Source organism: Homo sapiens, chromosome 3 (assembly GCF_000001405.40).
Source record: "Homo sapiens chromosome 3, GRCh38.p14 Primary Assembly".
NCBI classification, from domain to species: Eukaryota; Metazoa; Chordata; class Mammalia; order Primates; family Hominidae; genus Homo; species Homo sapiens.
Genome location: NC_000003.12, coordinates 158,305,236 through 158,332,461, shown reverse-complemented (window position 1 = coordinate 158,332,461; position 27,226 = coordinate 158,305,236). Strand labels below are relative to the sequence as shown.

The 27,226-nt window shown below is 36.1% G+C and overlaps 1 protein-coding gene across 5 annotated transcripts in view, besides 1 other annotated feature; it reads right to left on the bottom strand.

Moving 5' to 3' along the window:
- RSRC1 (arginine and serine rich coiled-coil 1) overlaps positions 1 to 27,226 on the bottom strand; it is a 435,642-nt gene that overhangs the window by 213,269 nt on the left and 195,147 nt on the right. The gene's annotated exons all lie outside the window — the stretch shown is intronic.
- Positions 2,467 to 2,996: an enhancer, noted in NCBI's record as "H3K4me1 hESC enhancer chr3:158047255-158047784 (GRCh37/hg19 assembly coordinates)". NCBI's record gives its function as "activates a minimal SCP1, AML or CMV promoter by ChIP-STARR-seq in primed H9 embryonic stem cells {active_cell/tissue: H9 hESC(primed)}" and the evidence as "EXISTENCE:reporter gene assay evidence [ECO:0000049][PMID:30033119]".

The following is a 27,226-nucleotide window of genomic DNA, read 5'->3' as shown; positions in this document are numbered from 1 at the left end:
CCTACCATGAGGTTACGGATTTATTTTAAGAGGTGAAACTTATAATGAATAAACATACCAGTTTTTTGCCCCAGGAGACCTAGAATCAATAACTGGCTCAAGTAATAAGTGAAAATGATATAGATGATCAAACACGGATGTTTTAGTCAACATTAGTATAATCACAAAACCACTTCACAATTCATCATAACTAATGATCTCTACTTCAGGAAAGTCCAAAACTATGGGTGTTGTTAGTTATGATTAAAAAGTATTGGCAGAAACTTGATTGCTAATTTATGATGGTATATTTCTTTTAAAATTCTAATGTAGAGCCAAAGTAAGATAAATATATATAATGAATACATTATTCCTTGGGCTTTCATTCTAAAACAATCAGAGATCCCTCTCTCTTTCTTGCTAGTCTCTTTGTGACTCCTCTTTTCTGACCTAAAAAATGACATAAATTAAGTTCTACTTTTATTTATGAAATTTGCTACATTAATAACAATATATAATCAAAAGTACTGCTTTGTATACTTTAAAAGATATATATTATGAAAGAGCAACTAAATAATATATTAGTATGGTAGTGTAGGAATGATAATCCAACTCTTTACCACATGATTAACACCCACTTATACTTAAAAAAAAAAAAAGACCACTATACCAAAATGAAAAAAAATATGTAATCTTATTCAGGTTTTTTGCATATATTTTGTTTTTTATTTGTTAGGCCATGAGGAAAAAAATATTCCAATAAGGAAAATGAATACACTTCAAAAAAACTTCAAGATTAAACTATATGAAATACTGATACTTAATCATTTGTTAACTATAAAAGTGGCAAGTTCATTTGGTTCAAACTAACAGAATAAGAATTCACATGGGAGAAGGGCTGAATTTTTAGGCTTAGAAGTAACAGAAGAAATCATAAAGAAAAAAACCCAACAGATTTGACTACATAAAAATATTCAATTTTATATAAAAAGTATCCAGCAACACAGAACTAAAATAAAATGGCAAAACAGTGACAATAAATTTATTAGAAACAAATTTAACCAAGTTAATAGCTTCATTCAAAAAAAGTTCTTGTAAGTTTATAACAAAATCACTAATTCTTAAAAGAGAACAAAAAAGCATAAGAAACTCACACGCACAAAAGACTACTAGTCAAGCTCTCTCCTCAAATTTCTCTTGTAGAATTCACTATGCCATTATTAAAATATGTAAATGTGAAAAATATAAATGACAGCTAATTCTAGCCAATGATGTTGATATGGTTTGGCTGTGTGTGTTCCCCTCACCCTCTGAGCCCAACACCAAATCTCAAATTGTAGCTCTCATAATTCCCAAGTGTTGTGGGAGGGACCCAGTGGGAGGTAACTGAATCATGGGAGCAGGGCTTGTGATAATGATTAAGTCTCAAGAAATCTAATTGGTTTTACAAAGGGGAATTCCCCTGCACATGCTCTCTGTATCGTCTGCTGCCATGTGAGACATGACTTTGCTCCTACTTTGTCTTGTGCTATGATTGTGAGGCCTCCCCAGCCACATGGAGCTGTGAGTCCATTAAACCTTTTTTTTTTTTTTTAATAAGTTACCCAGTCTCAGGTAGGTCTTTATTAGCAGCATGAGAACAGACTAATACAGATGTAAAACTCTCATGCCTCATTAGCGGTATTATAAATTGATATAATATTTATAGAAAGCAATTTAAAATTATGTGAATGGAGCCCTTCAAGTACTCATACTCCTTGAGAAAATGTTTCCAATTTGGGGACCTAGAGAAAATATTTAAAACATGGAAAAGCTAAGAACATTCAGATATTCAGAAAATTCCTTAGAAGAGCAAAGATCAAAAAATAACCTAAATATCCAACAATAAAGAACTAGTTAGGTCACTCTACTTAATGAGATATAGTGTACCTATTGAAAACAATGACAATGTTAACACGAAAAGGTGTCCAAAATTGCCTACCATCCAGAAAATGGTAGGGTACTATATATTAAGAACATTTAAAATACTCATACCCTTTGACATAGGATTTTCATTTTAAGAATCTAGCCTAATGCAATTATTTAAGATACGTACAAAAATCTGTTCATAGAACATTAGCAAGATGGCTGAATAGGAACAGCTCCAGTCTACAGCTCCCAGAGTGAGCGACGCAGAAGACGGGTGATTTCTGCATTTCCAACTGAGGAAATCTCACTGGGGCTCGTCAGACAGTGGGGGCAGGACAGTGGGTGCAGTCCACCTAGTGTGAGCTGAAGCAGGGCGAGGCATCGCCTCATCCAGGAAGTGCAAGGGGTCAGGGAATTCCCTTTACTAGCCAAGGGAAGGGGTGACAGATGGCACCTGGAAAATCGGGTCACTCCCACCCTAATACTGCACTTTTCCAAGGGTCTTAGCAAACGGCACACCAGGAGATAATATCCTGCGCCTGGCTCGGAGGGTCCAACGCCCACGGAGCCTCGCTCATTGCTAGCACAACACTCTGAGATCGAACTGCAAGGCGGCAGCGAGGCTGGTGGAGGGGTGCCCACCGCTGCTGAGGCTTGAGTAGGTGAACAAAGCAGCCCAGAAGCTCGAACTGGGTGGAGCCCACCTCAGCTCAAGGAGGCCTGCCTGCCTCTGTAGACTCCACCTCTGGGGGCAGGGCATAGACAAACAAAAGGCAGCAGAAATCTCTGCAGAGTTAAACGTCCCTGTCTGACAGCTTTGAAGAGAGTAGTGGTTCTCTCAGCACGGAGTTTGAGATCTGAGAATGTTCAGACTGTCTCAAGTGGGTCCCTGATCCCCGAGTAGCCTAACTGGGAGGCACCCCCCAGTAGGGGCACACTGACAGCTCACACAGCCGGGTACCCCTCTGAGATGAAGCTTCCAGAGGAACGATCAAGCAGCAACATTTGCTGTTCAGCAATATTCGCTGTTCTGCAGCCTCTGCTGCTGATACCCAGGCAAACAGGGGCTGGAGTGGACCTCCAGCAAACGCCAACAGACGTGCAGCTGAGGGTCCTGACTGTTAGAAGAAAAACTAACAAACAGAAAGGACATCCACACCAAGACCCCAACTGTATGTCACCATCATGAAAAACCAAAGGTAGATAAAACCACAAAGATGGAGAAAAAACAGAGCAGAAAAGCAGAAAATTCTAAAAATCAGAGCACCTCTCCCCCTCCAAAGGAACGTAGCTCCTCGCAAGTAATGGAACAAAGCTGGATGCAGAATGACTTTGACGAGTTGAGAGAAGAAAGTTTCAGACGATCAAACTTCTCAGAGCTAAAGGAGGAAGTTCGATCCCAATGCAAAGAAGATAAAAACCATGAAAAAAGATTAGATGAATGGCTAACCAGAATAACCAGAGTAGAGAAGTCCTTAAATGACCTGATGGAGCTGAAAACCATGGCACAAGAACTATGTGACAAATGCACAACCTTCAGTAGCTGATTTGATCAACTGGAAGAAAGGGTATCAGGGATGGAAAATCAAATGAATGAAATGAAGTGAGAAGAGAAGCTTAGAGAAAAAAGAGCAAAAAGAAATGAACAAAGCCTCCAAGAAATATGGGACTATGTGAAAAGACAAAATCTACGTCTGATTGGTGTACCTGAAAGTGATGGGGAGAATGGAACCAAGCTGGAAAACACTCTTCAGGATATTATCCAGGAGAACTTTCCCACCCTAGCAAGGCAGGCCAACATTCAAATTCAGGAAATACAGAGAGCGCCACAAAGATACTCCTCGAGAAGAGCATACTCCTCCAAGGTGCATAATTGTCAGATTCACCAAAGTTGAAATGAAGGAAAAAATGTTAAGGGCAGCCAGAGAGAAAGGTTGGGTTACCCACAAAGGGAAGCCCATCAGACTAACAGCTGATCTCTCGGCAGAAACTCTACAAGCCAGAAGAGAGTGGGGGCCAATATACAACATTCTTAAGAAAAGAATTTTCAACCCAGGATTTCATATCCAGCCAAAATAAGCTTCATAAGTGAAGGAGAAATACAATCCTCTACAGACAAGCAAATGCTGAGAGATTTTTGTCACCACCAGGCCTGCCCTACAAGAGCTCCTGAAGGAAGCACTAAACATGGAAAGAAACTACCGGTACCAGCCACTGCAAAAACATGCCAAATTGTAAAGACCATCGATGCTAGGAAGAAACTGCATCAACTAATCAGCAAAATAAGCAGCTAACATCATAATGACAGGATCAAATTCACACATAACAATATTAACCTTAAATATAAATGGGCTAAATGCTCCAATTAAAAGACACAGACTGGCAAATTGGATAAAGAGTCAAGACCCATCAGTGTGCTGTATTCAGGAAACCCATCTCATGTGCAGAGACACACATAGGCTCAAAATAAAGGGATGAAGGAAGATCTACCAAGCAAATGGAAAACAAAAAAAGGCAGGGGTTGCAATCCTAGTCTCTGATAAAACAGACTTTAAACCAAAAAACATCAAACGAGACAAAGAAGGCCATTACATAATGGTAAAGGGATCAATTCAACAAGAAGAGCTAACTATCCTAAATATGTATGCACCCAATACAGGAGCACCCACATTCATAAAGCAAGTCCTTAGAGACCTACAAAGAGACTTAGACTCCCACACAATAATAATGGGAGACTTTAACACCCCACTGTCAACATTAGACAGATCAACAAGACAGAAAGTTAACAAGGATATCCAGGAATTGAACTCAGCTCTTCACCAAGCAGACCTAATAGACATCTACAGAACTCTCCACCCCAAATCAACAGAATATACATTCTTTTCAGCACCACACCACACCTATTCCAAAATTGACCACATAGTTGGAAGTAAAGCACTCCTCAGCAAATGTAAAAGAACAGAAATTATAACAAACTGTCTCTCAGACCACAGTGCAATCAAACTAGAACTCAGGATTAAGAAACTCACTCAAAACTGCTCAACTACATGGAAACTGAACAACCTGCTCCTGAATGACTACTCGATACATAATGAAATGAAGGCAGAAATAAAGATGTTCTTTGAAACCAATGAGAACAAAGACACAACATACCAGAATCTCTGGGATGCATTCAAAGCAGTGTGTAGAGGGGAATTTATAGCACTAAATGCCCACAAGAGACAGCAGGAAAGATCTAAAATTGACACCCTAACATCACAATTAAAAGAACTAGAGAAGCAAGAGCAAACATTCAAAACCTAGCAGAAAGCAAGAAATAACCAAGATCAGAGAAGAACTGAAGGAGATAGAGACACAAAAAACCCTTCAAAAAATCAATGAATCCAGGAGCTGGTTTTTTGAAACGATCAACAAAATTGATAGACCGCTAGCAAGACTAATAAAGAAGAGAGAAGAATCAAATAGAGGCAATAAAAAATGATATATCCCATTACTGGGTATATACCACCGATCCCACAGAAATACAAACTACCATCAGAGAATACTATAAACACCTCTATGCAAATAAACTAGAAAATCTAGAACAAATGGATAAATTTCTGGACACATACACCCTCCCAAGACTAAACCAGTAAGAACTTGAATCCCTGAATAGACCAATAACAGGCTCTGAAATTGAGGCAATAATTAATAGCCTACCAACCAAAAAAAGTATAGGACCAGAGGGATTCACAGCCGAATTGTACCAGAGGTACAAGGAGGAGCTGGTACCATTCCTTCTGAAACTATTCCAATCAATAGAAAAAGAGGGAATCCTCCCTAACTCATTTTATGAGGCCAGCATCATCCTGATACCAAAGCCTGGCAGAGACACAACAAAAAAAGAGAATTTAAACCATTATCCCTGATGAACACTGATGCAACAATCCTCAATAAAATACTGGCAAACCAAATCCAGCAGCACATCAAAGAGCTTATCCACCATGATCTAGTTGGCTTCATCCCTACGATGCAAGGCTGGTTCAACATACACAAATCAATAAATGTAATCCAGCATATACACAGAACCAAAGACAAAAACCACATGATTATCTCAATAGATGCAGAAAAGGCCTTCAACAAAATTCAACAATGCCTCATGCTAAAAACTCTCAATAAGTCAGGTATTGATGGAACATATCTCAAAATAATAAGAGCTATTTATGACAAACCCACAGCCAATATCATACTGAATGGGCAAAAACTGGAAGCATTCCCTTTGAAAACCGGCACAAGACATGGATGTCCTCTCTCACCACTCCTATTCAACATAGTGTTGGAAGTTCTGGCCAGGGCAATCAGGCAGGAGAAAGGAATAAAGGGTATTCAGTTAGGAAAAGAGGAAGTCAAATTGTCCCTGTTTGCAGATGACATGATTGTATATCTAGAAAACCCCATCGTCTCAGCCCAAAATCTCCTTAAGCTGATAAGCAACTTCAGCAAAGTCTCAGGATACAAAATCAATGTACAAAAATCACAAGCATTCTTATACACCAATAACAGACAAACAGAGAGCCAAATCATGAGTGAACTGCTATTCACTATTGCTTCAAAGAGAATAAAATACCTAGGAATCCAACTTACAAGGGATGTGAAGGATCTCTTCAAGGAGAACTACAATCCACTGCTCAAGGAAATAAAAGAGGATACAAACAAATGGAAGAACATTCCATGCTCATGGATAGGAAGAATCAATATTGTGAAAATGGCCATACTGCCCAAGGTAATTTATAGATTCAGTGCTATCCCCATCAAGCTACCAATGACTTTCTTCACAGAATTGGAGAACACTACTTTAAAGTTCATATGGAACCAAAAAAGAGCCCGCATTGCCAAGACAATCCTAAGCCAAAAGAATAAAGCTGGAGGCATCATGCTACCTGACTTCAAACAATACTACAAGGCTACAGTAACCAAAACAGCATGGTAGTGGTACCAAAACAGAGATATAGATCAATGGAACAGAATAGAGCCCTCAGAAATAATACCATACATCTACAACCATCTGATCTTTGACAAACCTGACAAAAACAAGCAATGAGGAAAGGATTCCCTATTTAATAAATGGTTCTGGGAAAACTGGCTAGCCATATGTAGAAAGCTGAAACTGGATCACTTCCTTACACCATATACAAAAATTAATTCAAGATGGATTAAAGACTTAAATCTTAGACCTAAAACCATAAAAACCCTAGAAGAAAACCTAGGCAATACTATTCAGGACTTAGGCATGGGCAAGTACTTCATGTCTGAAACACCAAAAGCAATGGCAACAGAAGCCAAAATTGACAAATGGGATCTAATTAAACTAAAGAGCTTCTACACAGCAAAAGAAACTACCATCGAAGTGAACAGGCAACCTACAGAATGGGAGAAAATTTTTCCAATCTACTCATCTGACAAAGGGCTAATATCCAGAATCTACAAAGAACTCAAACAAAGTTACAAGAAAAAAACAACCCCATCAACAAGTGGGCAAAGGATATGAACAGACACTTCTCAAAAGAAGACATTTATGCAGCCAACAGACACATGAAACAATGCTCATCATCACTGGCCATCAGAGAAATGCAAATCAAAACCACAATGAGATACCATCTCAGGCCAGTTACAATGGCGATCATTAAAAAGTCAGGAAACAGCAGGTGCTGGAGAGGATGTGGAGAAATAGGAACACTTTTACACTGTTGATGGGACTGTAAACTACTTCAACATTGTGGAAGACAGTGTGGCGATTCCTCAAGGATCTAGAACTAGAAATACCATTTGACCTAGCCATCTCATTACTGGGTATATACCCAAAGGATTATAAATCATGCTGCTATAAAGACACATGCACACGTATGTTTATTGCGGCACTATTCACAGTAGCAAAGACTTGGAACCAACCCAAATGTCCATCAATGATAGACTGGATTAAGAAAATGTGGCACATATACACCATGGAATACTATGCAGCCATAAGAAAGGAAGAGTTCATGTCCTTTGTAGGGACATGGATGAAGCTGGAGACCATCATTCTCAGCAAACTATCTCAAGAACAAAAAACCAAACACCTCATGTTCTCACTCATAGGTGGGAATTGAACAATGAGAACACTTGGACACAGGAAGGGGAACATCACACACCGGGGCCTGTCGTGGGGTGAGGGGAGGGCAGAGGGAAAGCATTAGGAGATATAGCTAATGTAAATGACGAGTTAATGGGTGCAGCACACCAACATGGCACATGTATACATATGTAACAAACCTGCACGTTGTGCACATGTACCCTAGAACTTAAAGTATAATAAAAAAAAAATTTGCACAATGATGCTCACCATGTTGATATCTAAAAGAGCAAATGATTGAAGAATGATAGAAAGCCATATACCAGTAAGTTCCTAACAATAGAGAAATAATTGAATTTTGCTATATTGATATACTGAAGTATAATGTAGCTGTATCAAAATCTTTTCCAAAAAAATAAAATATTTTAGCAAAAATTATATGAAAATTTTTACCAAAAGAAAATATCAATACTATACTGCTAAGTGAAATGCAGGATACAAATTTAGATCATACTGTTGATTCTCTGTCTCTCTCTGTGTATATATAATGTGTACTATAGTACGGATGCACAGAATAAAGATGTGAAGGAACTGTTCTGAATGTTAGCAATGATGCATCTTATTTCCAGTAAGAGGTAACAAGAGGAGATAAGGAGACCCATTCTCTATAAAAAACAACTATACATATGGGCAAAAATGACTAAAAACAATCACTTCAGAGCATTAGGAAATAACCAAAGGCAGACAAAAACCTAAGAAATATATTCCTGAGGCAAAGTGCTATTTAATACTTTATCTAGTAAGAACAGCAAGTTTTGATCTTCTTGCTTGGGGATGTTACTTCCTGTACAGCTTGAATGGCAAAAACCTACTGCTTCAGCACCAGAGGTGGTAGACTTGGTTCAGGGTAGTGGCAGAACAAGTAGACATTTAATGGTAAGATTTTAGAAGTGAGAGAGCCATAGCAGATTAAAAACTCTTCACACACTTGTGACTTTCTTCTACTAAATTACACATGTGTGCGGAAGATCTTGAAGAACCAGATGAAGATTGGAAGTCCGGGAGAATTGTGAATTTGCTCCACCTTTGAATGTATTCCTAATTCACAAAGATCCTGCCCTGACGTATTCGACCGTGACCTCTGCCCAAATCATTTACTAACCATTAAACTACACAGACACAGAGGAAACCCCTAAGGAGCCATGCTAAAAAAGCAGACAATATCAATAAACACTCAAAATCCAAGCTGAAACATCAGCAGATAAACACTGCAGAGGTACCAAATTTCACAGTTTGAGTCTAGAAAAGATAACTGCAAAAACCCTAAAATACTCAGAAGAACAAAATTGGTAAATTAAGCCCAGAGTCACAATAACATATTACCTACAAGTTCCAATTTTCAACCAAAAATTACTAGACATTAGAAAAAAAAAGGAAGTGTGGAAATGTGATCTCACTGCTCAAGGAAGAAGGGTAGTCAATAGAAACTCCAAATTAACCCAGATGTCTGTTTTAGCAGACAAAGACTTCAAAGAAGCTATTATAAATATGATCAAAGAATTAAACAAAACAAAACTCACTAGATGAGCTCATTAACAGATCTGAGATGGCAGAAGAAAGAATTAGTGAGTATAAAAACAGATTGATAAAACAATTATCCAAAGCAGAAAACAAAGAGAAAAAAAACATTGAAGGAAAATGAACAGAGCCTTAGCTATCTGTGGGACAACATCAAATATCCTAACATACATGTAATTGAAGTCCTAGAAGGAGAAAAGAGAGAGGAAGTGAGAAGGGGCAGAAAAAAATACTTGAGGAAGTAATGGCCAAAAATATCAAATCTGGCAAAAAAGTTTAATTTACAAATAACTGAAGACCAATGAACTCCAAGAGGACAGGTGCAAAAGGACTCACACTTACATGCATTGTAGTCAAATTCCTAGTAGCCAAAGGCAAAGAGAAAATCTTAAGAGCAGCAAGGGAAAAACATCATGACACATACAAGTAAAAGATAAATGGTTGAATTCTCAACAGAAATAATGCAGACCAGATGGCAACTGGAATGGTACATTTAGTTTGCGGTGGGCTGGGGGGACAGGCAGTGGCTCACACCTGTAATCCCAGCCCTTTGGGAGGCCAAGGCAGGAGGATTGCTTGAGGCCAGGAGTTCAAGATCAGCCAGGATGATAGTAAGATCCCATCTCTACCAAAATTTAATGTGCTGGGAGGGGTGGAAGGTGGGGGATGAATATCCTTCAAGCAACAATTCTATATCCAACAAAAATAAACACGAAATAAAAACATTCACATAGAAACAAAAAATCAAGAAATCAGTTCATTGCTCGTGGACCTGCCCTAGCAAGAAATACTGAAGTAAGTACTTCAGGCCAAAAGGAAATGATACCACATGGTAACTTGGAACCACAGGAAGGCATGAAGAGCACTGTGATTAGTAAATATGTGAATACATATAAAAGACTGTGTGTGTGTGTGTGTGTGTGTGTGTGTGTGTAGGTGTTAAAAGTTTCTTCTCTTAATTTCTTTAAAAGACATATGTTTGATAAAAGCAAAAACTAATATTGCATTAAGTTTATAATATATATAAATGTGATATTCGTGATTGCAATAGTACAAAGGAGAGGAGCACAGAGGTAAACTGGTACAAAGCTCCTACATTTTATTAGAAATAAGTACATTATGATACATTAAAGATGCATAGTATAATTCCTAGAGCAACTCCTAAAAAACAAAATTTGCTACAATGTCCTTGATAACTTCTGTTAGGTTGGTGCAAAAGTAATTGCAGTTTTTGGCATTACTTTTAAAGGCAAATACCACAATTACTTTTGCACCAACTTAATACAGTCAGACTATCACTCATATATAATACATATAAATACATAGTGTGTTTAAAAAAAAAAAAAAACACAAAAATATACCAACATGGTAAAGCATATCAAAATGGTAGCATTAAAATTAACTTTTTCCTTTTTTTGTTCTTTGTAGATTGCATATGTGATTACAATGTTTTAAATAAAATATTCCAATAAAATTAAAACCACGCAAAATATACCATAACTGTTTTAGAATATACATCAAATCCATATTCTAGTTAGTTAAGAAGAGAAAAAAGATAAGAGAGAGAAGAGATTCTGGCAAAGAAGAAGAAGAGGAAGAAGAGGAAGAAGAGGAGGAGGAGGAGGAAGAGGAAGAGGAAGAAGAAAAAGAAGAAGAAGGAAGAGAGAGAATAACAAAAACATGCATAGAGAAATAAGAGGTTACCTAAACATAAAGAAGGAAAGAGAGGTTGAGGGTGAGGCATGGACACAGAAGAAGGAGAAGTGATGAAGAGGAAGGTGAATACAGGGCTTGGGAGATACTAAAGATGTTTTTAATATGGGTATCATGCATGGGAGTCAGGAAGTATAAGAAATTCTTTAAAAAAAAGTACTTATATTTTCCTGTACAGAGAATCCCGGTTTTTATCAGATTCTCAAAGGTATGTGTGGCCCAAAAAAATTAAGAACCAGTGTTCTAAAGTAGCTTGCCAAATCCCATTCATTTGAACTATGGATTCTGATGCATCCTTACCTCATTATTGTCTTTTGATATGATAATTAACTAATTTAAGTTAGTTCATAACTCTTTAATTGTCCTTTATTCTTATTCAGAGGGATAGATCTGGGTGACGGGAAGGGCTAGAATAAGGAGAACATTCTCTGGGCTATGAAGGCAGAAAACAGCAAGATGATTGTATGAGCTGGAAGTCCCCTACTCTTGAAGTTAGGTACTAAGCAATGTAATTGTTGCTTTTATTTTAGGATCTATGAATTTATAATTTTCACAAGATTTCTCATGTGGTCCTGATGATCAGCCAGGTTGGGAATTATTGTTGTGAATAGCAGTAAAGTCCTGAGGCCAAGATAATTTATAATCTCTCGGTATCACTAGCATCCAAAGTTGTACTTGAAACACAGAAGATTCTAAATGGTTAGTTGAATAGTTTATTAATAATTTTTAACAATATTACATTTTTCCTACAATGTGTAGATAAAATAAAATAGGCAATGTCAAATTACATATAACAAACACATATTACATATAACAGAACAAACACATATTACATGTAACAAGTATTCAGATAAGAAAGTGCCTACATCACTTAGACAATAAGTTACTGGTTATATTAGAAAATTTGTGTATGGATCACTAGTGTGTAAGTATTCCAGATCTCCGTCCCTGATATCCTTTTTCTCCTCACTGGTCAAAGTAAGAGTAACTTCTCATTCACATTATTTCCTAAGATAAGTCTTATTCCTTGAGTGAGCAATACCTCTTAGGCTCCTGAGTGATTGTAATCAAGGGACATTATGTAAACTTCAACAATCTTAGTGTTGGTTTCCTTTCCAAACAAGAGGAAAGAAATAATTATTTCTAACAACAATGCTATTTTACATCAATTCCAATCAAAAGTAAATCTCCTCCTATAGTTGATTAACAAGTGTTAAAATTCCTGCTATACCAGTAGTCTTTTGAAACTATAAACTTGTAACATATGAGGATCATGGGTTAAAAGTATAAAAGGTACTTTAACATGATATTCAGATAAGGTTGTCTGATCAGGTAATTCATAGAATAGAGATACTTTTCCTTAAAAAACCAGGAATTCACTTCCTGTTCCAATCATACGGGAAGAGAAATTTAAAGCTGTACATATATGCATTCTAGTAGTGTACCTTATTAATAAAGCCATTTTAAATATAAAATTCACTCAAAATTTAGAACTGTTGATAATAATTATGCAACAATATAAGATCTAATTGTAGAGGGAAAAAATCCTGAGACAGAATAACATGAAATGCGATGGTTTAGTCCACATTTAGTCCACTCAATATTCTACTCACCAACACATAAATGTAGCTAAACAGCCTACACTGAGCTTAAATTGTGTTAGATTCACATATTTGAGGGCTTGCTTGGTCAACCTTGGAACAAGTCCACTAGACATTGTATTAGTCCATTTTCACACTGCTATAAAGAATTACCCAAGACTGGGTAATTTATAAAGAAAAGAGGTTTAATTGACTCACAGTTCCGCATGGCTGGGGAGGCCTCAGGAAACTTACAATCATAGCAAAAGGTGAAAGGAAAGCAAGGCACATCTTACGTGGTGGCAGGGGAGAGAGTGAGAGTGGGGAAGTGCCACTCTTAAACTATCCGATTTCATGATAACTCACTCACGATTATCACCAGAACAGCATGGGGGAAACCACCCCCATGATCCAATCACCTCTCACCAGGTCCCTCCCTTGACACACGGGGATTACAATTCGAGATGAGATTTGGGTGGGGATGTGGAGCCAAACCATATCAGACATCTAGTGTTGGAATGAGAAGTGTCCTGGAAGAGAAGTCATTCTTCAGGAAAGACTAAGTTAAAGTAGATATGTCGAACCTCATGACAATGTTTCAGTTGTCAATTTTTTTTTATTTCCAAGGTTAGACTACATATCTGTCACTCCAATTTCTCTCTGATCCAGGCTCCCGCCCCAGGCCCTCCTCCACTTCAAATCTTATTTATGTGTCCTAGGAAAAGAGAAGGGTTGAAATAAAAACTCAAAAGTTACTTTCACTATAATCTTCTTAAAAAGATACTCAGTAGTATGAAGTATTCATGTTTAGGTAGCTCCTCTCTCCTTAACAGAATGTGTAATGTAAACAGGGAGAGAGGTGCCCTTCCCAAGTTCTGACATAAGTCCATGCAGGAAGATCAGTCTATGTGGCCTAACAAATAGGGAAATACTTTACACATACAGCAGCATCTAGTGGGATCAACAGTGTTATGGGACAGAGGATGGTAAAAGCAGAGGGGGTGATGTGGTCCTTTTTTCTTTTTCCCCCCAACTACTAAGGCCTGTGTTTGTGAACACATATGAGGCAATCCTCTTGAAAACTGCTACAGAACTTGGGGGACACTGACATCCACCTTAACTATAAGGGCAAAAACCAGTAAAGCACTTTTTCCAACAAAGAAGTTTAGTTCTATTTTAACTGTCTTTTAGAATGGTTCAAACTAAACAGTAGGGAAAAGGCTAGAATAAAAAGATATTTTGGTAGAGACAGGGTTTCACCATATTGCCCAGGATGGTCCTGAACGCCATAATACCCTAATGTTGCCTGTGTTCCTGTGTATTGCTAGGAGACTGTCATATGGTAACATGTGGGTGAATTAATGGCTCTATCACAACTTTTAATGGAGAACATCTTTCTACCTGGAGTCCATGAAGCCTGGGAGCCCCTGGATATGCTCCAGGGCAGGGGTTGTCAATTTTTTGGCTTCCCTGGGCCACACTGGAAGAAGAATTGCCTTGGGCCACACATAAAATAAACTAACACTAACAATAGCTGATGAGCTATTTTAAAAATCGCCAAAAACAAACACACACACACACACACACACGCACACACAAAACTTCATAATGTTTTAAGAAAGTTTATGAGTTAGTGTTGGGCCACATTTAAAGCTGTTCTGGGCTGCATGTGGGCCACAGGCTGTGAGCTGGACAAGTTTGCTCTAGGGGGATCCAATTCGTGTGTTCTGTGTGAATTTTTAAAATATGTTTTTTAGGCCAGGCACGGTGGCTCATGCCTGTAATCCCAGCACTTTGGGAGCCCAAGATGGGTGGACTGCTTGAGCTCAGGAATTTAAGACCAGCCTGGGCAACATGGTGAGACCCTGTCTCTACTTAAAATACAAAAAATTAGCCAGCCATGGTGGCATATGCCTCTGGTCTCACCTACTTGGGAGGCTGAGGTGGGAGGACTGCTTGAGCCCAGGGGCTGGAGGTTGCAGTGAGCCAACATCACACCACTGAACTCCTGCATGGGTGACAGAGTGAGACTCTGTCTCACAAATAAAATAAAATGTTTCTCATCATACTCTGAAAATTAAATACTGGCCAGGCACAGTGGCTCATGCCTGTAATACCAGCACTTTGGGAGGCCAAGGCGGGTGGATCACTTGAGCTCAGGAGTTCGAGATCATGCTGGGCAACATGGTGAAACCCTGAATCTACAAAAAAATACAAAAATTAGCTGGGCGTGGTGACATGCACTTGTGGTCCCAGCTACTCAGGAGGCTGAGGTAGGAGGATCGCTTGAGCCCACAAGGCAGAGTTTGCAGTGAGCCGAGATCACGCCACTATACTCCAGCCTGGAGGACAGAGTAAGACCCTGTCTCAAAATAAAAAACAAACAAACAAAATACCTAAGTACTAACATAAGCATATGAGCACCCCACTCATTATCAAGCAATTCAGTGCAATTTCAGTGCCATAATTGTGTTCATAGTTAGGCTTGGTGTCATGTGCTCTCCTCAAATGCTAGGGTTTGCTTTTAATGTATTCATAAGCAATGCCTAACTGCTGCTGAGGAGGCCTGTCCAAATGTCATGGCAATAGCCTTGCATCTACTGCTGCTGTACTCATGTTCAATATTCTGGCAGAAAGTGATTTTTACTGTAGCCAAAATTTGTGACTAAGGTATTTGCACTAAATAATAAATCTTTAATTTCTCAAGTTACATAGTAAATTGAAACTCTGTTATTTTTGCTAAGGTAAATTAAGCACTATTTGATTTAGGGCCAGAATTAAGGAAAAAACTGGGCTTATATGTCAATGCTTTGTTTGCACCAAGAGCAGGCCAAACAATGTCATAGCACATTTGTACAAAAATGAGAGATTCTGCCGGGCGCGTTGGCTCACGCCTGTAATCCCAGCACTTTGGGAGGCCGAGGCGGGCGGATCACAAGGTCAGGAGATCGAGACCATCCTGGCTAACACAGTGAAACCCCGTCTCTACTAAAAATACAAAAAATTAGCTGGGCGAGGTGGCGGGCGCCTGTAGTCCCAGCTACTCGGGAGGCTGAGGCAGGAGAATGGCGTGAACCCCGGGGGCGGAGCCTGCAGTGAGCCGAGATCGCGCCACTGCACTCCAGCCTGGGCGACAGCGAGACTCCGTCTCAAAAAAAAAAAAAAAAAAAAAAAAAATGAGAGATTCTGCAGTGGACTGATTAGAAAAAGCAGGTGGAAAAATGAGGCATATCACAGCAAACAGAGTAGGGAAGTACACATAAGACAGACTCAAAAAAGCAGAGCTACACTAACTCTTTCCATATTGGTATTTTAAGCTGACATTCTGCTGGTCTTTGCATACGCCAACTTGCAATGACTGCAACAGCCGTGAGCATAAAGGTAAACTGTCTAAGAATTGTTTGTTAAATACTTTCTTTTTATTATCAGCTTTTTTTTTTTTTTGAGACCGAGTCTCGCTCTGTTGTCCAGGCTGGCGTGCTGTGGCACCATCTTGGCTCACTGCAACCTCCACCTCCTGGGTTCAAGTGATTCTCGTGCCTCAGCCTCCCCAGTAGCTGGGATTACAGGTGCATGCCACCACGCCCAGCTAATTTTTTTATTTTTAGTGGAGACGGGGTTTCACCATGTTGGCCAGGCTGGTCTCAAACCCCTGGGCTCAAGAGATCCACCCACCTCAGCCTCCCAAAGCACTGGGATTGCAGGCGTGAGCCACCATGCCTGGCCTATTTTCAGCATTTTCGGTTGCATTATTAATGTAACTAAATCATCAAAATAATGGCTCAGTAACTAAAATAAGCTTATTATCAATATTTTCAAAATTAAAGTGATAATTACCATGACATAAATCTCCAAATCATTTAGGCAACATATAAAACATAAAACAAGCAAGTAAATCTGTCTAGTAATAAATCAAAATTTTGGAAATTCAATATAAATAAAACAACTCCTTCATTTAATTAAGATTGTTTAAATTATATTTCTTAAGGCCTATTTTCATTTATTTTGAAATTTTAATTTGTAAATCTAGCTAGATTTGTTTGAAAAATAATTTAGTATACTAAAATCATGGGCTCTGGAGCCTGCTTGGTCTAGGTTTGAGTTGCACAGCTGACATCTATAAGCTGTGGGATCTTGAACAAATCATATAGCCTATCTCTTTCTTAGTTTCCTTATCTGTAAAATGGAGATAAGAGTAGCACCAAAAATTCCACCATAATTTTTTAAGTGAGATCCAAAAAATTAGGAGTATGAGCTTTGGAGCCATACTTCTTGGATTTTTTACCTGAATTTCCCTTCTCCTCCTGTGTGTTACTACAAGGTTTTATTAAGCCTATCTCATAATGTTGTTGCTATAAAGACTAGATGAGTGTCTGTGTGTGCATATATGTGCATGTACTCCAACCATCCATCCATGTAACCATCCATTCAAAGTGCCTTCATTATTAGTATTATGGGTTTACAGTTGTAAGCACAACAGTAAAGAGTTTACATTTGGTTTCATATATGCACATTAAGTAACATTTTGACACAGTATCAGAGTCTAAAAGGCAATGAGGAGCAAACATAATTTTTTTTTTTTTTGAGACAAAGTCTCACTCTGTTGCCCAGGCTGGATTGCAGTGGCACAATCTTGGCTCACGGCAACCTCTGCCTCCCAGGTTCAAACAATTCTCCTGCCTCAGCCTCCTCTATAGCTGGGATTACAAGCATTTGCCACCACGCTCGGCTGATTTTTGTATTTTTAGTAGAGACGGGGTTTCACCATTTTGGTTTCACCATTGGTTTCACCAGGCTGGTCTCGAACTTTACTCATATATGACTAAAATATAAGACACTACATTTTTTAAATTATATTGTTACCATCCTGTATATCTTAAACTATGTTTATTTTAACCATACCGGAAAACACACTATTTCTGAAACTCCTTAGAGCAGTGGCAGTTTGACAATACAGCAAGGTTTCCTAATATTTTGGTGGCCTACCCTCATGACACATTTTCTTTGTCTATCTAGAAAGCACTGTAGCACTAAACTATACATGCTGACAGGATAACAATTGCTAGTCAGAGGACTACTTGACACCTGCTAAATCCAGCATAGCTTTATTTCTGCTTATTAAATTTAACTGTTTAGCATATTTTCATTTAACATGTGAAAATACTGTTGCAGAAGAAACAGTATCAGTGAATGAAGTAAAAAAAAAAAAAAGAATTTTTTTTCGGTTGGGCACAGTGACTCACACCTGTAATCCCAGCACTCTGGGAGGCCGAGGTGGGTGGATCACCTGAGGTCAGGAGTTCGAGACCAGCCTGGCCAACATGGCGAAACCCTGTCTCTACTAAAAAAGTACAGAAATTAGCCAGGCGTGGTGGCAGGCACCTGTAATCTCAGCTACTCAGGAGGTTGAGGCAGGAGAATAGCTTGAATCAGGGAGGCAGAGATTGCGGTGAGCTGAGATCGTGCCACTGCACTCCAGCCTGGGTAACAAGAGTGAGATTCCGTCTAACAACAACAACAACAACAACAACAATTTTCAATAATGTGGCACAAGTTACTCGTAACAAACAGGACTGCTACCTTTCTTATCCAGGTGTGGATTCCTATTAAAAGACAATTTTCATGGTTTAGAGATATTTTGTGTTTAGAGATCTTTTTTGTCTCACCTTTATGGTTCTGTAAAAACTTTAAATGTTTTTGGAAATAAAATGCTATCTAAATCACAAAGTACTAATTAGTTTTTAAAGAAGGATAGGAGTGAATATTCATTTGCATTTTGGCTTAGTCTTTTTCTATCGAATAATACAGCCATAATAATTTCTTTAGAAATGAGCTGGGATATAAATAAATAATAAAAGCAAATGCTGATGATACACATTTTCTGTTACTGTGTCAAGACACAACATCGTTCTCCTTTGTTGGCATATTTGATTAAATTACTTCATTTATTTTTGCCATGCATGAGATAGTTTTTGTGTAAATTTATGAAAAAATTTTCATACGTGTGCCTTCCTTAAAATGTTTCATTAATGCTCTATGCTCAATTCTGGATATAACAGTGGATACACTTTGGATTACAGCCAATAGATGGCACTGCTCTCACTAGGTAGCAAAGACCACATAAAGGTCTCATTACAGGCACAAATTATTAAGACTAAATATCTGCTCAAATCTGAATTTTTCATGATGAGAGACACATATTAAAACATAATAAATATTTAAAAATCTATGCTTAATAGTTACTGAATAAGAGAGGCCAATTTAAGGCAACCAATTTACTTATTTACCTAAAAACATTTATTGAGTGCCTACTATCACTAGGCACTACAGATATAAAAATGAATAAGATATTTCCTGGTCTCAAGTAATTACACAATAATATGGTTAAGTAATATTAGTAATGGAGATGGTCACAGAGAAGTACGGGGGCTCATCCTGGGGATGGGATGGATCAGTGAAAGCTTTTTACAAAGGAGATGATGCATGAGCTAGTAACCAAGGGGTGAGGGGAGGGGGGAGGTTGTTGGTATACCATATTTTGAACAAAGGGAAAAGCAACAGCAAGGACTAGAATATAAGAAATAGCATAAAAGCATAATGTGGAAAGTATGACTCAGAACATGTCAAGATATAAACCTGTTAGGTTTATATCTCTGTTAGGAGAGCTCTAAATCACTCAGAAGGTATGCTATCTTTTAAGAAATTTGGACTTCATCCTTCATGAAGACTGGAGGTAGGAATCAAACACAGTGGCTGTTGTGGGTAGTCCAGGCAGCAAGCACTAAAGCTTTAACCAGAGCAGTGGCAATAAAGGGTGGAGAGGAAGACATGGTTTTGAGAAATATTTAGGGGATAAGTGTTAGCAAGATATGGTATTTCAGTGTATGTGGGAGATTAGGGATGAGAACCAAGGCTGACACTCAAGATAAGATATTTCTAAGGTCCTTTTGAAATGCCACTGATAATTTCTTACTGATTATTCTTTTAATTGCTATTACATAAAGTAAGTTGCTGTCCTGCTGTTATCCATCCAATCTTTATTCTTTCATAGCACTCTGCACTTTTCCTTCTAAAAACTTATAATTTACAAGAATTACAGCACAATATGCTTGTTATATATTTATTTGGCACCTGCTTCTTCTATTTATTAAATTACACTTCATAAGGACAGAGTCATCTCTCCTGATCTGGTTCATCATTCCATATCTATCACCTAGCCTGATAAATAACTGACACTCAACAAATATTTGTTGAAGAAACACATATTTCTGAAGTTCCAAGATCTACTCATGCTCTGCTTGGCTGATAACTTTCTATAAGGATCAAACACTACTTAAGGCCACATTTGGTAATACCCACAAGAGATGCTGCCTATTCATTAAGTACTTTAGCTTTTTTCAGTGACAGCTTTTCTCACCAGAGTAGGAATGAGTCTTTTGCACATGTCAAGTTAGAAGCTATTTTAGAGTATAATAGGTGCTCTCTGCTCGTGTCAGCTTTCTCAGGGACAACAACCAAAATAACACTCTATAAAACCAAGAAATGTGCTCCTTCACCTTCTGAGTCTTGCCAGGGTTTCTACCATGTCCACTTGCTTTTCCTTCTCTCATGGATATTAATTTACTCTTATGGATTAATACTCTTTCTCAATGCTACCTTAAAATATCACAGTGGTTGGTCAATTCTCTGAAGCTTAACTATCTTTTAAAGAAAAAAATTTCCCCACTCTCATATTTTTATTTTTTTTGGTTTACTGAGGTCTAACTGACACATAAAAATTATATACATTTAAAGTATACAATGTGATGTTTTGATATATGTATACACTGTGAAATAATTGCCATAATCAAACTAATTAACATATCTATTACCTTATATATTTACCTTTTTTGTGGTAAGAGTATTTAAGATCTACTCTCTTAGCAATTTTCAAGTATAAAACACAGTATCATTAACTCTAGTCACCATGCTGTACATTAGATTTCCAGAATTTGTTCATCCTGGGTAACTGAAACTTTGTACTCTTACAGTATGTGTGTAGAGGAAAAGGGGAGTAGGGAGGGCTGTATTTTTTAAAAAACACCCAAGGTTTCCAGCAATTTTCTCTGTGTCAGTTTCTTTGGAATTTCAAGGAAAAAATGAAATAGATGAAAGGAAATAAAAATATTAATTTTTAAATCTAAATATTAAAGGCTGGATTTAAAAATTAGATTATACATCTATTCATAATAAATATTTATTTGAAGAATACGCTGTTCTGGAGCATTTAAAATATTCATCCAATAAATGAAAAAAATTAGCATATACTTTTTACAACCGATATACCAGGTGCTAAGGGACTATATAAGCAGTACAAACATGAGTTTAACCGTAAGGAATTCATAGTTTAATATGGTAGGTAAGATATAGATATAATAATGAGCATAAAGTATTCTAATTCTTAACACTGTTAGAGAGGTACTGTAAGTTGGTATGGTAGTTCAGTATAGGGAATGATTAATTTTGATTGGAGATATAAGAAAGACATATCAATGACATATCAATGACTGACAAAAGCAAGCACGTGTATTTTAATAAGTGCCACTTTTGTCACTGTAAAATTTCTTCTTGAAATACACATTTATTTAGAAACTGACAAACGAGGAGAGTAGATTAGTATAAACATTTTATAAATTGTAACAAAGGTGATTGAGTGAATGAAGGAGGGAAGAAAGAAGTAATATTGGCATTGCATTAAAAGTGATGTTACAGAAATTTCATTGTAAATTTTGACATATGAGTACCATGTATCTGGGAATAACAATTTATGAGACATTTTAGCAATTACCTTTTAAGATACTTCAAAATTTTCTAAACTACATTACTTTATATTTAATGTTTATATAACATTCTTTAAATGGAAATCAGGTGTTCCTCAACTAGTATTGATTTGTGTTATTTTAAAACATATTTTTAAAAGTTGCTTCTCTAAATTTATCAAACTCTCAGAATATGCTACACTTAACTTTAGAATAAACCTGGATACAGCTAACCATGTTACATTTGTTATTTACAGTTAGTACTTGATTACAACTCCCTTAAAGGTAACACACAAAAGCTATGTAATCAAGATTTGTATTCGTTCCTGCGAAAAACCAAATAACATAATTAATTTTTGAATAAACCAATTTAAAAAATTGAACTTAGGTTTATTGTTATGTAGGAAATATTGTGATTAAAGTTTGATGATTACATTTAAAGCATTTATTTTGCTAAATTCTAAAAGAGCCTTCCCCAAAAGTTGAAAGCAATCCATTTACAATTGACTCTCTCTTCACCTCAATAAGATAGCAAAGCAAAGACAACGATTACAAGGGGAGAAAGATTAAATATTTAGTCAATTATGAAAAATATGCTAAATTTTTCTAAGAAAAAAGTAAGGTGCTTTTCAAATTAAGTAAGGTATTTATATAATATCTTATATAAATAAAGTGCTTTTTAAGTGAAGTAAGGTATTTATAAGCATATCTTACCTACTATATTAGACTATAAATTCCTTAAAGATAAATCCATTATACATCCATTATAGTATCTTACCATCTAACTTGTATGCAGTACATGCTAAGTTTTTTAAATCTACTCCTATGGTTTAATACACTTTCTCAAGGTTACCTTAAAATATCATGGTAGCTAAATATCTTAAATGCTACAGAATAGTTTATTTTTAATGATATTTTAACATATTTACCAAAGATATAATCTACATGAACTTAATAGTAACCTGACTACAACTGACATGATGGTATTGGTGGATAAATAAAACCTAGGAGGTCATTTCCAGAAACTGGTAGGAGAAAGATTATATTAATGTTTTAGATTAAAGCTTTCTTTGTGTATCACATATTCGGGTAGCTATTTTGATAAAACTGTTTTGACAATATATAAATAAAATTATGCATTACCAAAATTTTACTAGGAAGAAGTTAAATCATGTAGTTTTTTATAAGAGTGTACCAGTATAAGATCTAGCAATGTACTTCTAATCCATGTATGAGAGCACAAATAGAATACATTAAATATTTCACATATTTAAACAAATTTATGCTGAATTCTAGTTGGCCTTCTGTCATTTCCATCACTAAGATTCCACTTAAAAACATTTATTAAACGTTTATTAAATGCTAGAATTATTTTTATCATAGTTCAAAAAATAGAAAATCAGACCAATAATTATAAAAATTAGTTTCAGAATGAATTAATTTGAGGACTTGAAAATATGTTTAAAACTTAGAGGTTTATAAAAGCAGATACCACATCAAGATCCCTTAAATATATTTTTTCACAATATGCACAAAACAGAATATGAAATCAGAAACATTTTACACATTCTCATACTTCAGAGAGCGCTAACAGCATTTTACTAGTCGAAAGCACTTTATCTTCATGTCTCTATAAGGCAGAGTTGGTGCATAATAATGTAATTTATATTGCCTAAATGTTATTTTGGGAGCAGTGCATCATTTCTCAAACTTCATGACCTTTACAATTTTCTAAACTTTTATTTCCCTCATTATTCTGAACAGATTTCATTACATATTTTGAATGTAAACAACCCTGAATAATGATGGGGACCATTACATATGTACAGCTCTGACAATTGTGCATGAAGCTGAGATGGAAACCCAGTGCATTAATTTACCTCTCATCTTCGGTAACTGCACTCCCATAAAAAGTTTTATACTCAACTCACATAAATCATGTAGAAGAAAAATGAGAAAATCTGGTGGCTAACTCATCTTCCACCATTCTGCGAAAATGAAATTCACTGAAATACCTATCAAAACTGCAATCATCAAGAGATAATGTCTTCTTAGGTCTATCTGCACTTTCCGATTTAATTTCCTCCATGCCCTTGACATCCACAGATACCATTAAGATTAAGCGCATACAGTAACTGAGCAGTTTTCAGATTTTGATATATGGGTCCTAGGCACTAAATGTAATATCATCATTTGAAAATTAATGCAATATTTCTTTTGTTAGTTTTTTGACTCAGAAAGCAGGATGAATACTTTGGTTTCTCTCAAGTAATTTCCCCATCAGAATGACATGCAATTATGAACAGATATGCACCTGGTCAGAGGTCAGTCAAATTACTACATCATTTAATGAGTAGAGAGATCAAAATGTAGCACACTGTTGCTGCCGAGAGACGCCTTGCAGCCTGCTACATCAAATATGATGGAATCATTAGAGTAATAAGCATGAAAATCTGTTTGCAGATTAACCTGTAGTTTCATGCTGCTTTCATCTAATGGGGCACTGTGGAAATCTTGTCAGCTTTTCATCAGCTACGATCAAATTACTGAAATTGCGTACAAACCACTGGTGCAATTGGAAACAACATCTACAAGCACAATTTCTTTATGATGATGCCAAAGAAAATAACAGACTTTATTTTTTACAATTTTATTTACTGTTCGGCATCTGATCATTTAGGTAATCTGTGTATAACAGTTACAAATTTATGTTCATACCAGCTTCTTTTACATATCAACCAAACAACAGTCAATCCAAATTATGGAACAAATATTACCATCATTAACTACAGAGTAAAATGTAAAGCATTTTAGCTAAAACATAAAAATGTCTGTGGTTCTCAGAAATTTTAGCCGAAATATTTAGGCATTTGGAAATATAAAGCTATGTTTTAATCAAAACCCTTATTTACTATTATTAAATTAAAAGATTCTACTAAAACAAAAAATAGCACATCTGTTAAATCTGGTAGGTGAGTATGTGGAGATCTGTTATATTAGTTTCATATACATAAAATTTCACAATTAAAAATTCAGAAATTAAAATACATTCATAAGAAAAATATATAGAAAGTCTACATATTTTAGTTCTCCCCTCCTTCAAGATTAAAATTGGAAGGGCAAAAATGAAATTACATTGCTTGAAAGTTTGTCTAGAACTATCCCCTTAAATGTTTTTATACTAGCAGTGCCCTTTAAATTTTAATTTTCTGAGCTGATATCATAATATTATTCTTGGTATAAATATTGCTAAAATATTTAGAGTAAATGTAATATTAATACGGTCCCACACCCAAAAGTGGTTTGGAATTAAATCTATTTATACACATTGTTTATGATGCTCTAGTATAGCAATATATAGCTAAGCATATTCTAAAACATCTCATTTAAGTTAGGTAAGCAGTGACTTAAGAATATAAGCCTTTATATGCTAAGCATTCGAAGATTTTTCTTTCATAGAATCACATATTCAAGAACCTTAGAAATCATCCAGTTTATACCCTTTACTTTATATAGGAACAAACTGAATCCTCCAAAGGTTAAGTGCCAGTGCACAGAATCAGTTCACTTAACACTAACCCAGTGCTTCCAGCACTCTGCTTATTTTCCAAGTAAAAGCAGTAAACAAAAGTAATTTTTCCTTAAAAATAATATTCATATGTGCTCAGTAAAAAAAACAAACAAACCTGTTACCTATCCAGATCATAGAAGAGAAGTCACCAATGATTCCACTGGAAGCTCAAGCTTTCGCATCTTGCTTTTACCACTCACTCCACTTGGCCACAAAAGATTTTAAAAATAAGTGAAGTCCCTCCCCATTAAAAAAAAAATAACTTTGATAACTTACTAAACAATATGGTATCAATTTACTTGTCTTTCAATTCCCAAACAAGTCAATAAACGCACAACATTTGCAAGAGCAGATGCTGAATAATTTAGTCAAAAAATAAATAAAAAGCTGAATATTTACTTAAAAGGTAGAGTCAACAAGGAAAGAAATTATACTATAATACGATGATATGATATAGTCACTACCAAAATTGAAGATTATAATAAAATGTTACAGAAAGAGTTGGGTCAAAATTTCAAATTTAAAAATACTAGTCTGTAATAAATCTAAATAATATTTTAAAGATGTCACAAGCCCCTTTTCTAATCTAATCATCTTCGCTTATTTGTTTTTTGCAATTATGAGATAGGATTTTCTTATATAAAGTAACCCATTCTTTCCTGTATTGATTATAATAAATTTATCATAAGCCTATTCTTACACATACTGTAATCAAGGTAACCAAAGTAAAAATAAAGTTGAATCTGTGCTGACTCCATAAAAGACAAATTACGTGCTCCTCAAATTTTCCCTAGAAATGCTTTAAATGATATAGTAATAGTATTAACTTCCAGATTTTGACAGAATTCCAGCAAAAACCAGCTTCACGTGTGTGTATACATATTGCATCTAGCACTGAACAAATAAAAAGTCCAAGTTGTAAAATACCATACATAGTATGACTGTATTTTTACATGTTAAAAAAAAGCTAAGTAATATATGCATATATATGCCTGAAAACAGAGAAGGATACAGGAGATGAGTGGTAACTATTAAGACAAGATTGATGGCAGGTAGGAAAAGATATAATCATTTTTTTTACACATCAGTTTTTTGACATATTACAATGAACACGTATTAAGGTACTTTATAATATTTAAAAGCATATAACGAAGTTTTTAAAAGGGTAAGGATATAAAAAGATAAAGGACAAAATGTTCTCATAGTTAGCTCTGAGTATACTGGAATTAAGATATTGTTTTTATCTAAAGTTTCTTAAATTAACTGGAACTGTTACAATTTTTTCTTTCTCTACAAAAATAATGATATACTTTAAAAAGTCTTATGCTTTGATAAATTTCACACACTATTTTAACAACGCTATGAGTAAGGGGAAAATTAAAAAAGTGAAACAGAGCAGTTGTGTGCCTTTCTAGAGGTCACACAGTAAAATCACAATATTCTGACTCCTTGTGCTGTGCTCTTCCTAAAATAAACAGGCTGTGTATGTTAAAATTAAATACCGATGCTATTATTCAGTGGCAAATGGTAATAAGCGTGATTAAAGATAGCACTGTGGCAAAGGCGTTCTCCATCTTAACTCCTAATACCTTGATTGGAGAAACAGAAAGCAACGTTGTTGTCCCTGTTGCTAGTTCTCTCTCTACAGTTACTTAAGTTAGATCCCAAGAAAGCCCCTGAAATAACTGCTAGGTACCACATGGGATGCCCTGCAATGAAGGTAAGCCTACAGTGTTTTGAACCCTAATACAAAAAACAAAAATAAGAATACAATATTCAGTTATTGCAGTAGTTTCAAGAAGGTCTGATTTTCAGACCCTTAAGTAATGAGAAGTGGGAGTTACTTTAATGCATTTAGAATATTTAGTTTTACTTTAAAAAGCTTTAATAACCTCAGGTGCATAAAAGTCAAAAAAGTTATCTATATTAAACATAATTCTGAGACTATCAACAATATCATGAAAATTGCATGACATCTTGTCCTTTTTTTTAAACGTTAGCCTGCCACCAT